Source organism: Homo sapiens, chromosome 11, assembly GCF_000001405.40.
Source record: "Homo sapiens chromosome 11, GRCh38.p14 Primary Assembly".
Taxonomy (NCBI): domain Eukaryota; kingdom Metazoa; phylum Chordata; class Mammalia; order Primates; family Hominidae; genus Homo; species Homo sapiens.
The window spans coordinates 119,414,997-119,427,356 of NC_000011.10; the positions used below are offsets into that span (position 1 = coordinate 119,414,997).

General features: G+C 53.5%; 1 protein-coding gene and 1 long non-coding RNA gene across 6 annotated transcripts in view, besides 3 other annotated features; one reads left to right on the forward strand and one right to left on the reverse strand.

Moving 5' to 3' along the window:
• Positions 1–12,360, forward strand: part of USP2-AS1 (USP2 antisense RNA 1) — a 117,456-nt gene that overhangs the window by 33,219 nt on the left and 71,877 nt on the right. The gene's annotated exons all lie outside the window — the stretch shown is intronic.
• On the reverse strand, positions 480–9,989 carry THY1 (Thy-1 cell surface antigen). Of its 5 annotated transcripts, none has more exons than NM_001311162.2 (4): positions 9,902–9,989; positions 5,873–5,933; positions 5,055–5,390; positions 480–4,524 (listed from the first exon to the last, which is right to left on the reverse strand). In NM_001311162.2, exons 2-4 carry the CDS (start codon positions 5,907–5,909, stop codon positions 4,412–4,414), a joined length of 486 nt encoding a protein of 161 aa, NP_001298091.1. In that variant the 5' UTR covers positions 5,910–5,933; positions 9,902–9,989; the 3' UTR covers positions 480–4,411. The 5 variants fall into 5 exon arrangements, 4 of the variants coding, with proteins under 4 accessions (NP_001298091.1, NP_001358979.1, NP_006279.2 ...); NM_001372050.1 differs by lacking the exon at positions 9,902–9,989 and adding an exon at positions 8,117–8,176 and having other exon boundaries at positions 5,055–5,339; NM_006288.5 differs by lacking the exon at positions 9,902–9,989 and adding an exon at positions 8,117–8,176.
• Positions 4,655–5,222: an enhancer, noted in NCBI's record as "H3K27ac-H3K4me1 hESC enhancer chr11:119290361-119290928 (GRCh37/hg19 assembly coordinates)". NCBI's record gives its function as "activates a minimal SCP1, AML or CMV promoter by ChIP-STARR-seq in primed H9 embryonic stem cells {active_cell/tissue: H9 hESC(primed)}" and the evidence as "EXISTENCE:reporter gene assay evidence [ECO:0000049][PMID:30033119]".
• Positions 6,922–7,488: an enhancer, noted in NCBI's record as "H3K27ac-H3K4me1 hESC enhancer chr11:119292628-119293194 (GRCh37/hg19 assembly coordinates)". NCBI's record gives its function as "activates a minimal SCP1, AML or CMV promoter by ChIP-STARR-seq in primed H9 embryonic stem cells {active_cell/tissue: H9 hESC(primed)}" and the evidence as "EXISTENCE:reporter gene assay evidence [ECO:0000049][PMID:30033119]".
• Positions 7,489–8,054: an enhancer, noted in NCBI's record as "H3K27ac-H3K4me1 hESC enhancer chr11:119293195-119293760 (GRCh37/hg19 assembly coordinates)". NCBI's record gives its function as "activates a minimal SCP1, AML or CMV promoter by ChIP-STARR-seq in primed H9 embryonic stem cells {active_cell/tissue: H9 hESC(primed)}" and the evidence as "EXISTENCE:reporter gene assay evidence [ECO:0000049][PMID:30033119]".

Genomic DNA, 12,360 nt, shown 5'->3' on the forward strand with positions numbered 1-12,360 from the left:
GTGTTGCTTAGGCTGGCCTCAAACTTCTGGGCTCAAGGGGGGCCTCCCATCTCAGCTTCTCAAGAAGTTGGGATTACAGGTGGCTGCCACTGCACCAAGCTCTAATCCTTTTTTTTTTTTTTTGAGACTGAATCTCACTCTGCCACCCAGGCTGGAGTGCAGTGGCATGATCTCGGCCCACAACCTCCGCCTCCTGGGTTCAAGTGATTCTCCTGCCTCAGCCTCCCAAGTAGCTGGGATTACAGCCGTGCACCACCACACCTGGCTAATTTTTATTTATTTACTTATTTTTTTTTTTTAGTAGAGACAGGGTTTCTGCATGTTGGCCAGGATGGTCTCAAACTCCTGACCTCAAGTGATCCACCTGCCTTGGCCTCCCAAAGTGCTGGGATTACAGGCGTGAGTCACCACACTCTAATTTTAAGACTTACTGAAGTGAAACCCTAAAGGGGGAAGAGGCTAGAGTCCTCTAGTCCATGTTCTCACCAAATTCAGGAAACTGCTTTATTGCAAACTTGACAGGTGGCCTCCACCTGGCCACGCCACTGCCAGGCACTCCCCGCCTGCACTGCTGGGCACCTCCAGCCATCACAGCCCCTTCCTGGTGCAGAGCCACACTTGGCCTCCATGAAGCTGCCACATTGGTCCTACCCACCCTCCATATGATGTGTCTACATCTACAGGTCCCACTGACCCCAGCTCTTCCTTGTGCCGGGCAAAGATGCCTCCTGTGGGTCTGCACAGGACATGTTTCTCCTTGAGTGTGTTGGGGACATTCCAGGCCTGAGAGTGTCCTGAGGCTGAGAGCCCCTGTTGAGCAGAAGAGAGCTGATGGCCCTCTTGCCTGGCCAGGACTCTCTGAAGGACTCCAGCTCCAACATTTTCTCACTAGTAAATGAGATGATTTACTCTTGACTTGGGTTTGTTTGTTTCACATGTAAAGACACCTTCACAGCACGAAAGCTGCAGATTCAGAGAGGGACATCAGGTTGAGGAGGCGGGAGGGATGTGTGTCACAGGTCCCCGGACGCTGTGTAGATTTCTTGGTTGGCCAGTGAAAGTCCCCACATCTCACGGAGATCCCCATGCCCTTCCCGAGGAAGCCTCTAGATGTCAGAGATGCAGACATTGCGCGTCTCAGTGGACAATCCAGTCCAGAAATGGGGGTGCAGAGAGGGGCTTCTGTTGCTCTTGAGCGGGAATTCCACGGCCCTAGGTATGGACTTAGGTGCTGAAGGGGGGGGACCCAGGAAAGAGGTTAGGACTGGCGAGGGAGTGGATGGGGATGGGGTTGGGGCATGTGTACAGGAACCAGGGCTGGGGGCCAGCCCTCTATAATTACCTGAGTCACCACAGATACCCCACAGCCTCCACAAGGCCTGCTGACTTGACCAGGGAGGGACCCACGGCTGTCGCGGCCTGTGGCTGAAAGTCTGCGGGCTCCCAGTCCTCAGCATGGTCATTCCGGGTAGGTTTATTTTATTTTTTATTTTTTTGAGATGGAGTCTCACTCTATCTCCCAGGCTGGAGTGCAGTGGTGCAATCTTGGCTCACTGCAACCTCCGCCTCCCGGGTTCAAGTGATTCTCCTGCCTCAGCCTCCTGAGTAGCTGGGATTACAGGCGCAGGCCACCATGCCTGGCTAATTTTTGTATTTTTAGTAGAGATAGGGTTTCGAGGCTAGTCTCGAACTCCTGACCTCAAGCGATCCGCCTCTTCCCAAAGTGGTGGGATTACAGGCATGAGCCACTGTGCCCATCTCTGGGTAGGTTTGCGTTGTGAGGCCTGATGCCCTGTTCTTCTCTTCTCCTTTCCGAAGTCCGTGGCCCTCTGGTGGCCTCTGTGGCTTCTTGAGCTAATCTCACCCACTGTGGGCCTCAGGTTCCGCTCCCCTAAACATGGCTGCAGAGGGCAACACCATCTCCCAGCACCCTTCTAAGAGTGTGGCTGCTAAACTCTTCAGGGACATAGTACTAGAGTGTGACAAAGACCCCATAGGAAGTGTCACACAGGTGCGAGGCTTCACACAGTGCCGCTCATTTCCTTCCAGAAATACCTCCATACTCTTTTACTATCCTGAGGGTGGGGCACCCCACATTTCTCTGGCATTTGATCTCCCTTCCCCCACAGCAGCTCTTCTCACCAAGATGCCTTTCCTTGGCACGGCGCTTGCAGCCCAAGCAGGGCTGAAGGAGAGGGGCCTGAGTCTCAGGGGTGTTCCTCCCCTTGGAGAGCTCTGGGCTGGCAGCATCTTGCTAAGGGGTTGTCAGCCTCCCAACCTGGGACAAGGACAGCTCCTCCTCCTCTGTGTATGGTAACTACAGGGGTGGAAGGCAAGGCAGAGAAGTTGACGGGAGGTAGCAAGAGTGGGAGCCGGTGGCATAATTTAGATCTGAGGCCTTTAAGAAAAATGCTCAGAAACAATCATCCTACCCAGTGCTAAATATCAGATGAGTCAGCCTCTGGGCAGCTGTCACCTTCCTCCCCCAAATTCCCTGGCAAAGCAGGGAGGCTGGCTTGGGGCTGCCTCTCTGACTCTGACAGCAGTTGGAACCCACAGCTACCCTGCGGTCCCCCTCTTGCCCCCAATCCCAGGATGCTCGCTTCCATTTTACTCTACTTTTAGGGAAGGAGCCAGGGATGGGCCTCAGTGTTCCCTCCCTACTCCCGAAGGGACAGTATTTGTCCCCAGTCCTTTCTCCTGCCGATGCTTTTGGATTTAGGAAGTGATGCCTTGAGGACATGGGCATCTCCCACCCTTCGTGCTCACCCTCGCAATAGTGGATGTGCCTGGAGGGTACATTTCTGAAGAACTACCAGAGCTGAGAAGAAAAAGCAGACTGCATAGCTTAGCGCAGATTCACGCAAAGCCACTTGTGCATTCCAGAGCCAGGGCCATGTGGTTCGGCCCACATGTTGGCAGTAAGCATGTTGTTCCAGCCAGGTGAGTCAGCAGACATGGGATGTTCGTTTATTTGGGCAAATGTGTCTCGTTAGGGTCATTCTGAAAAGAAGCCCAGTGTGCAGTCATTAGCCCCTGGGGTAGCGTTGCTACTAAGTGGTTGGGGAGAAGTCAGGGAAGAGGAAGAGGTGGCGTTCCCCAGCCTCACCCGTGGAGACCCCAGCGAAGCGGGGGCAGGCAGGCACTGCTGGAGGAGCGAAGGCCAGGTGGACACGAGGACAGATTCCAGAGGCTTGGTTTTATTGTGCAGTTTTCTTTGTCCTCAATGAGATGCCATAAGCTGTGGTGGCACTATACACAGTCACAGAACAGGAAGAACCACCGGGTGGGGGCTGGGGGTTGGGAAAAGCCATTTCCTGAGAAGTGTCCGGCTCCTGGGTCTCACTCCATGGCTTGCCTCAGGCCCCGCAGAAGTCCCTGAGAAGGCAGGCCTGCGGGGCAGGGGGCTGTCTGAGGGGCTCAGGCACCAGCCAGCAGGGGCTGGCACTGATGGGCGAGGGGAGGAAGTGCCTCCCTTAGAAACTTGGGCCAAACCCTGTGCAGCTCTGGGACTCCACCCCACCTGACTTGGAGGCTGTGGGTCAGAGCTCTGGAAGCTCTTGGGAGCTTGGGACAGCCTGAGAGGGTCTTGTCCTCCTTTGTAGCCCTCTCCACTGTGGGTGGAGGCAGGGAGGGGCAGCAGGGCCATGCTTTTAGCTTCCTTAGGCAGGGAGGGATGATGAACCCTCATCCTTTACCTCCTTCTCCAACCCTCCACTAGCGCTGCTTTCCTGGTCAAACCTGCATCTTCACTGGGTCATGCCCCAAGGCCTCTGAGGGACTTCCACAGTGGTAAGGAGGGCTGCCCTTTTTATTTTTTTTTGGTTGTGGCTGAGAATGCTGGAGATGCTCAGTTCTCTCCCTCACAAGGTAGGCCACAAATTCTTGGTGGTGCCCTCACATCTGGGGTCTTCAGGCACCAGCCATGCCTGCCGAGGAGTGCTGTCAGGACAGACCATGTCCGTGCTAGGCCCAGGCACAGCCCAACCACTCCTCATCCAAGTCTCTCCCAGGTTTCTGGTCCCGATGGGCAAGGATGACCCCTCCAGTGGCTGGTACCCCACCATCCCACTACCCCTCACATGCTCTCACTCTCCATCAGGTCCCCAATCCTGGCTTCCCTCTTCACGAACTCTCAAAGAAAAGGAAGGATAAAACCTAAATAAACCAGACAGAAGCAGCTCTGGAACAAAAAGTACAAAAAGACAGCCAGAGGTGTGCGGAGAGGGTGAGGTGGCCGCGTGGACGTGGGTAGATAATCGCATGCAGCACTGGAACTCCTGATGAGGGGTGGGGTCCCCACTTCTCCTCAAGGTTTGAGGGATTGGGGGGAGGGGGTCAGCTGACTCAGAGAAGTAGGATCTCTGCACTGGAACTTGAGGCTTCCTGTCTCCTCCATGGGCCCCACCAGTCACAGGGACATGAAATCCGTGGCCTGGAGGAGGGAGAGGGAGAGCAGGAGCAGCAGCAGCCACGAGGTGTTCTGAGCCAGCAGGCTGATGCCCTCACACTTGACCAGTTTGTCTGCAGAAAGAGAAGGGGGCCGGGGGCAGGGTAGGAAGGAAGACGGATCAGGACTCAGGCAGGCACAGGCCCAAAGCAAGGGTGTACTCCCTTTGGGAGGTGGGTACTGCAATGTCTTAGCTGGGACCAGGAACAGCCCGGTCTCACAGAACCAGCCATCTTTCCCATTTGCAGATTACTGATCTCTTGCACACATATCATCTTATGAAAACCTTACTAAACATCATGACAAGAAAACTGGCTGAGGGAGGTGGTGTCATCCCTGTTTTCCCGCTGGGAGAAGGAAGATTAGGGAGGCCAAAGGCCTTGCCCACAGTTCTGGTGGAACCACACTGCTCTGCCTGTCTGGCCCTGAGCTCTTCACCCCATTCACACCGAAGGCAATGGTTCCCCAGTTGACCAGGCAGCAGTTGGGAGAGGGTGAGAGCGTTATGGGGCTATTCTCCTCTCTAGTCCAGCCAAGGGAACTGCCTGCTGTCCCCGAGCCTGGCTCTCCCAGCTCACTTGACCTTGTTAGGGGCTTGTCTCACCTCTGAGCACTGTGACGTTCTGGGAGGAGATGGGTGGGGAATGGCCAGAGTGGTGGAGTGCACACGTGTAGGTGCCCTCGTCCTTGCTAGTGAAGGCGGATAAGTAGAGGACCTTCATGTTGTATTTGCTGGTGAAGTTGGTTCGGGAGCGGTATGTGTGCTCAGGCACCCCCACAGTGCCAAAGAGCACGTGCTTCTTTGTCTCACGGGTCAGGCTGAACTCGTACTGGATGGGTGAACTGCTGGTATTCTCATGGCGGCAGTCCAGACGAAGGCTCTGGTCCACTAGGCAGGCCGTTAGGCTGGTCACCTTCTGCCCTCGGGAGACCTGCAAGACTGGCACCAGCAGTGCCTCCTTCAAACTGGAGGGGCCTGCGGCACAGGGGCCTCCCACCCACCTGAAGTGGAGAGATGGGCCTGGCTAGGGAGGGGACCGGGGTCTGCTCTCTGAGTGCCTTTCCCCACCCCAGGGATCCCACTTCTCCTTTGCAGACCCCAGCCTCCCTCCCCACTCTGCTTGAGCCTTGGATCCTATCAATGTGTTTCAAGGACAGGAGATCTTAGGGAGTTGATGCTGGTTCCGGGTTCTCAGTTGGGGATTCTAGTTCAATAGTGTGAAGGAGGGCTCAGCAAACTGTGTTTTCAAAAACCACCTCAGGCCGTCAGAATATCAGCGCGGTGGATTGGCTGACTTCAGGATGAAAAAGAGCCCTCTCTTTGTCACCTGCGCTTTTCTGAGACTGTGAGGGAGAAGCTGCTTCTCTGGAGGGAAGGAAGCCAGGGCGCCTGGAGCCCCAGTCCTGCCCCATGCCGGGTACCTGTTAGCAGGAGAGCGATGCTGATGGCCAGGTTCATGGTTCTGGGATCTCAGTCCTGGATCTGGGGTGGGAACAGGATGGGAATCAGCCAAGCTGTGCCACACTTACCACCAGGGCTGGGGGTCCCTGGGAACATGGCATAGTGGCTATGGCAGTCATCTAAGTCCCTCTCTCCATTCCCCCTCTCGTCCCTGCATCTCACTGAACATGATACTGCCACTGGCTCTTTCCTGCTCAGGGAAAGCAAGGAAGGAGGGAGAACAAGCCCAGTCACGGTGTGTTTCTGCGCTTGGCCATGGAGCACTTACTAGCTGGGTGACTTTAAGTAACTTTACCACTCTTTCTCCTCTTCTTACATTAACATAGTGTATGGTAATATAAGACCTATGAGGGCTGAGGCTTCGTATTTAAAAAAAAAATTTAATCGTGGTAAAATACAAAAAGCATAATAATTACTATTTTAACCATTTAAATTCAGTACTTAAATTCAGTATATTCAGCAGTGCTGGATACATTCACGTTGCTATGCAGCCCATCTCCGGAACTCTTTTTGTCTTTCAAAGTAAAACTCTGTATCTGTTAAACAAAGACTCCCCATTTAGGGACTTCCCATTTCCTGTTCAGAAGAAAATCCCCAATGCTCAAAACCGTTTCCGTTTGCAGATTACTGGCATATAGCATACACTCCAAAGATATTTATTGTGAATGAATGAATGAATCTCTCTGAATCTTACATACCCACCGGGTTATGATGGGGGTTAAGAAAAACAACCAACATCTGGCGATGACTGCTTCATATACGTGAGACACAAATCCCTAAGTCACTCGCCATCCCCAGTGGATGGCTAGATACCATTCACCATAGCTAAGGATGCTCCCAGATAGGGAGCATCTATTCCTATCTGGATAGGACACAAGCTAATCGTGTTCCTGGAGGAGAGAAAGACATAGTGATCTCCGATTGTATGTGAGCCAAGGATGCTTCCCAATGTCCAGCTCTCTGGAGTTCCTGGGACTGCAGTTTTCCAGCCCAGTTTCAATAGCCACCCTGGATAGGCTGTCTGCCTGGTCTTTTTTTGTTTTTTGCAGCCTTGGCTGAACCAACCCTTGGCGAGGCGACGCGGAGCCGGTAGTCTAGCCTATCTGCAGAGCAGTGCTCGCCCAGGAGAGGCCACAGAAGGGGCGTGCACCCGCGAGAGCGCGCAGGGCATTGCCTCGGTTGAGTGCGCCCGGGTGCGCAGGGCGCACCACTAGACGAGTTCAGGGTCCCTGGCGCTCAGCCCCTTGACGGGTGAGGCTAGGATCCCGCGGCGGCTGCAGCTACAATCAATGCTCTCTCTGTCCCGGGGTGGAGCTGCTGCCCTGAGCCAGATCCAGGAGGAAGGGGGGTCGGCATCTGGCTTTTGAATCGAGGACTCTTGTTTGAGATGTTGTGCGGGCTTGGGATCTAGGAGGGGAAGGGGGAGCAATGGCCAGAGCAAGAAAGGGAAGAAATGGGTCTGGGGCTGGAGAGGGTAGAAGAGCCAGGGGAGGGGTGGAGAGCGGCTGGGGAGGTGCAGTCTGTATTCATTTCCTCTGGTCTGTGTCCTCAGGCGGCTCCAGACCCAGAGAAGGTCTGCTCTTCCTCCCTCTCAAGCCCCCGGCGGGCCTCATCCTTAATCCATTTCCGTATTCCAATCCTCTCCTTTCCCAAATGAGTCCCCCTTCCCCCTCTCTCATCCTTTTCCAGCTCTCCCCTCCCCCGTCCGCCCGCCTTCCACCCAGTCCCCGCCTGCGGCACTGCGGCTTCCTTCTCCTCCGGTGCCCCGCACCCAGCCCGCCGCGAGGTCACCCGGCAGATTCCCTCTAGCTCGCCATCCTCCATCCTCTCCCCGCAGTTTCATCCGTCCTCCTCCCCGCCTCTGCGAGCTGGGTTTGGGGACGTCTGGGTGGAATGTAGACCCACAGGCTGTCCTTGGTGCCCTTCCTCCCTGTTCTCCAGCGCCCCAGCCCCAGACACCAGTCCCCCAGCGGGCGAAAGCCCGGGAGCGCCTTCCCCGAAAGACATCAGGGTGCCACGCGGCCCCTGCCCTGCAGAAGCATCCCCCTCCCGCCCCTGCCTGGAAAGCAGGCCCCTCCCTAAGCTCTGCGCCCTTCTTCCCTGGGCGCCCTCGGACCGTGGCCCGAAGCCTAGTGTTGGGAAGTCTTGCATGGGCGCCTGACGGCGGTCCCCGAGCCCCAGGTCCCACCGGCTCCAGTTCCCACCTGGACTGGGGTCTTCCGCTGCTGCAGCCTCCTCCAGACGCGCCGCCGCCTCCGGTTGCTGCACCCAGCTCGGAGCCCGCAGTTTTCACCGGGGATGGAGGAGAGGGGGAGCGGGGAGCCGGGGGCTCAGCCAATCAGAGGCGGAGATTGGGGGAGAAAGGACGGCAGGGTGGGGTGGGGGGTGGGGAAGGAAGAGAAGGCGGTCCCGCATTGGTGTGAGAGTGGCAGGTTGCGGCGGAAGGGGGCCCTCACCCTGTGGCTGGCAGGCCTGGCCAGGGACGGGAGGGTTCGGGACCCCGGGGATCAGGGTGCGGCAGCCCAAAGAACATTATCCTCCTCCCTGAGCCCCGCAATGGTTGTTCCCCTTTTAAGGCTTTAACCCTTTCTTCTGACCTATTCTTCAGGAGTCTGTGGGAAAACCAAAGTGTAAGAGGTGCAGGATGCAGGCCGGGAGCGCCCACGCCTCCACATTTCCTTTTCAGCTGGAGCCCACCTCCTCCGGAGCCTCCAGTGAGAAGTTTTGGAATATTCCAGTCTTTCTGAAAGGAAGCTGGTTGGGTGTTTTTCAGTGTTGGAGCAGCCCTTCGGAAGCGAGGCAGGTGCTGGACCCACCCTGTCCGTCCCTGGTCCCCAGCCCCATTTCGCCCCCTCATCTATTCCAGAGCACCCAGCCCTTCAGGGGGCTGCAGGCGCTTTTTGCTCTGGGCATTACGTCTTCTTCAGCCCCTGGGCTGGCACCTTCTGGTCCAGACAGCTGGAAGGTTCTTCTGGCTTTCCTGAGTACAGTCTGCTTGTTTGGTCTTCAGACCAGGAAGGGAGTGTTGCCTTTTAGCAGGCACTGTGCTGGGCACATTACATTCATGGCGACCTTTAACCCATGGCCGCCTGCTGGGTTCATCCCATCTCAATCCTCACCTCCTGTCTTGGCTGGTAAGTGGGAGAGCTGGAGAACTGACCTGGGCTATGGACCCCAGCTCTCAAGGGTGAGCCATTCCTCTTGCTCATCCCTGCCTAGTGGGAGAAGAGAGAGAGGAACTCTGGGAAAGAGGAGGAGACAGCACAAAAAGGACTGAGTCGAGGCCAACTCCTGATCACCTGGGGCACTCCTGATAACCCACCGATTGGATGTCACCAGAAGCCCTAGGCTCATTTTTAGAGACAGTGCTGATGACTTTCTCTCACTCACAGGTGTAGTGAATTTTTTTGAACTAACGTTTATTTGATTGATTTGTATCCTGCCAGCCTCTTTATGAATTCTGATCACGACATTCTGTGGGCCTCCCCAATGTCTGCCTGCCTGTTCTCCTATTTCTTCATGGAAGTCAGCCCTGGCACCTTCCCTGCAGTTTCTGATACTGCAGTGGCACTGTTGGAAGCCACTGTTGGAAGCTTGCAAGTGGGAGGAGATTCGCTTGGTTTCCCAGCATTTAGGGTGATGGAACACTCTAACTGGAATGAGCCTTGCAGATGGTTAAGTCCAAAGGAGCTATTCACTTTGGTAAACTGCAGAGGTTTCTAGGGCATTTTATGAAAAATGCAGCTGGCCTTGCCCACCTAGGACCTCCTTAATCTAGTACTAGAGCCAGCTGAGTCTGCACTTTTCTCACGCTCCCCAGGATCTGGGGACTCTAACACATGATCTGGTAAGACTGTCCCTCTTCATAGGTGAGCTAACCTGGCTTCTTGTTTGTAGGATACTTTTTAAGGCCATGAATGTCCTGGCCCCTGGCTGCTGACTTCCCTCCTCCCTCCAACTCCATCCCAGCCATCTTCCCATTCATCTACCTGATGCATTCCAGACACACTGGCTCTGGCTTCTGTCTGCCTCTTCATGGCAGCGCACTCCTTCCTGCTTAACAGCTTTCTGATTCTGAGTCCAGGGATCTTAACTGCAGAAGGCATCTGGGCTCTGCTGGCTGAGGCCCTGGATGCTCCGTTTCCCACTCTTTGGCCCTGTCTCTGAGTGTTGCTGGGTGGAAGGCCTAGCAGTGCTATTTTGATAAGGTTATGAGGACCTGGCCTAATTTCTGGGTCCCCAAGCACCTTGCTTTTAGGCAGGGGAGGGGAGTATAGACTGTAGAAGGTGTGGCAATTCTGTGTCTGCCAAGCAAGATCTCTGATTGGATGGAATTAATGGCTCTGATTAGACATCTGAGGTCAGGGGATAGAGCACAAGGTGGTGGAGGGAGGAGATTTTAAAACTCCATTTACTGTGGATAGGATCGGAGTGCTGAAACCAGCAAGGCTTTAGAGGAATCCAGCTAAGGCAAGACTTCCTGCCAGAAGACTGCGGCTGCCCTGTTGGTCTCTTAGATCTCTCTTTTCCCACCATCTCCTGTTTTCCCACCCAGAAACATATGGGGATAAAAACTCTTCTAAAAACACACAGTCCTTTAGCATGACCTAGGGACTGCCAGCCATTCCCTCATTTCATCAGATTGTCTTTCTAGAATCACAGAGGTGACTACAGTGGTCCCATCTTTTAAATTTTATTTTATTTTATTTTTGAGCCAGGGTCTCACTCTGTTGCCTAGGCTAGAGTGCAGTGGTGCAATCACCACTCACTGAAGCTTTGACCTCCTGGGCTCAAGTGATCCTCCTACCTCAGCCTCCTGAGTAGCTGGGACAATAGGCACTTGACACTATGCCCAGCTAATTAATTTTTTTTTTTTTTTTTTGTAGAGATGGGATCTCACCATGTTGCCCAGGCTGATCTTGAACTCCTGGGCTCAAGTAATCCTCCCGCCTGGCCTCTCAAAATGCTGGGATTACAGGTGGGAGCCACTGCACCTGGCTTGCCCCACTATTTTATAGCTGGGACTTGAGGCCCGAGAAAGGTAATGATTTGTCAAGGTCAGACAAATATTTTGAAGCATGGTCTGGACTATTAGATCTTAAGTCTCCTGACTCCATGTTCCCACTGTGCTCTCCAGTGCTCCCAGGGCGGACCCTCAGATCTCTGCTAGACTCATTTCCCTGGTTCACGGTGAAATAAGTAAAACGAGGACAGTCCGGGGTACTCTGAACATAGCTGTCAGGTTATCACCTTGTTTTGATTTTATGTTCTTCACCCTGTTGATGAGGGAGAGATTCCCATCCCCTAAAGTTAGGGGGATCACATGACCTCAACACTGGACGAATGAGAGCAATAGCAGTTTATTAGTCACATATGCTCATACCTGGGAGGATAACACTGCACGCCATGAACTGCTTCATGGGAGTTGCACTCAGAAACAGGTATTACCAGGAGCTGTGGGAGGCAGGCTTTGTAATGTCAAAACGGTGGAATGCCCCCGTTTCCTGTAAGAGAATGTGATTGGCTGTTTGCATAATTCTGTGGGCTGGCAGGGTGCTGAAGCCCAGTACTCAGGGTTAAGCAGAAATTGTGCCTGGCCCCCACAATAAGGAGGGTGGTTTGGCTGGGGGACCTCATCAGCAAAGTAGGGAGGGGATCTTGTAATTAGGCCATTTGAGGTCTCCCTGATATCAAGGCAGCCATAATACTGAGCTCTAATCTTTGACTAATTGAGACTATACACCTGCCTTTCCTATACTTTCATTCTAAGGTTATACCTTTCCATTTTTCTGAAGAGATGGTGGTATTGATATGTGTGTATGTGTGGTTTTTAATGTCCTACTTTATATATAAAAAAAAGAAAATTGGTAACTTCCTGTTAACCCTCACACTTCTTTGGAAATGTGACTAAGTCTATGAAATTAAAATATCTTGGAACTGCTGCTCTACACTCCGCTACCTCTCCTAACCTCTAGTCGAGGTCAACTTCCTGAGCAAGGTCAGCTCCCTGAAGAACTGCATATTTGGTTGGAGAATGTGACAAATACAAACTAAACATTATTTCTTGGAATGCAGGGCAGAAGTTGAGAGAAGGCACCAATGGAGACACTTTAATCTTTGATAGTTATTTTAAAAACTTTATTCATGGATGGTTTAATTGACCAAATAATTAAGACATTATTGGTACCAATAATGTTCCAAGGCACGGGGCTAGACGCTAGGTATACAAAGATTAGTAGAACACCATCTCAAAGGCTTGTTCCAATGGGGGAAACAGAAATGATACATAGATAATTAGAAAAAAGAGGGTAGACACAGAGGTAGAGACGTGTAAAGGGTACTGTGGGAGTCCAGAGGAGGGACAGGTGATGACCCAATCTGTCAGAGAGGGCTTCTTGGAGGCCAGGCATGAACTGAGCTTTTAAAGATAAATGGGAGTTGCCCAGGT

Excerpts from the sequence above, each read along its gene's own strand:
- THY1 (NM_001311162.2), bottom strand. The coding sequence starts at position 5,909 with ATGAACCTGGCCATCAGCATCGCTCTCCTGCTAACAG. Across the intron at positions 5,391-5,872 it reads CATCGCTCTCCTGCTAACAG|TCTTGCAGGTCTCCCGAGGG; the intron begins GTACCCGGCATG and ends TGCTGGTGCCAG. Across the intron at positions 4,525-5,054 it reads GAACGTCACAGTGCTCAGAG|ACAAACTGGTCAAGTGTGAG; the intron begins GTGAGACAAGCC and ends CTCTTTCTGCAG.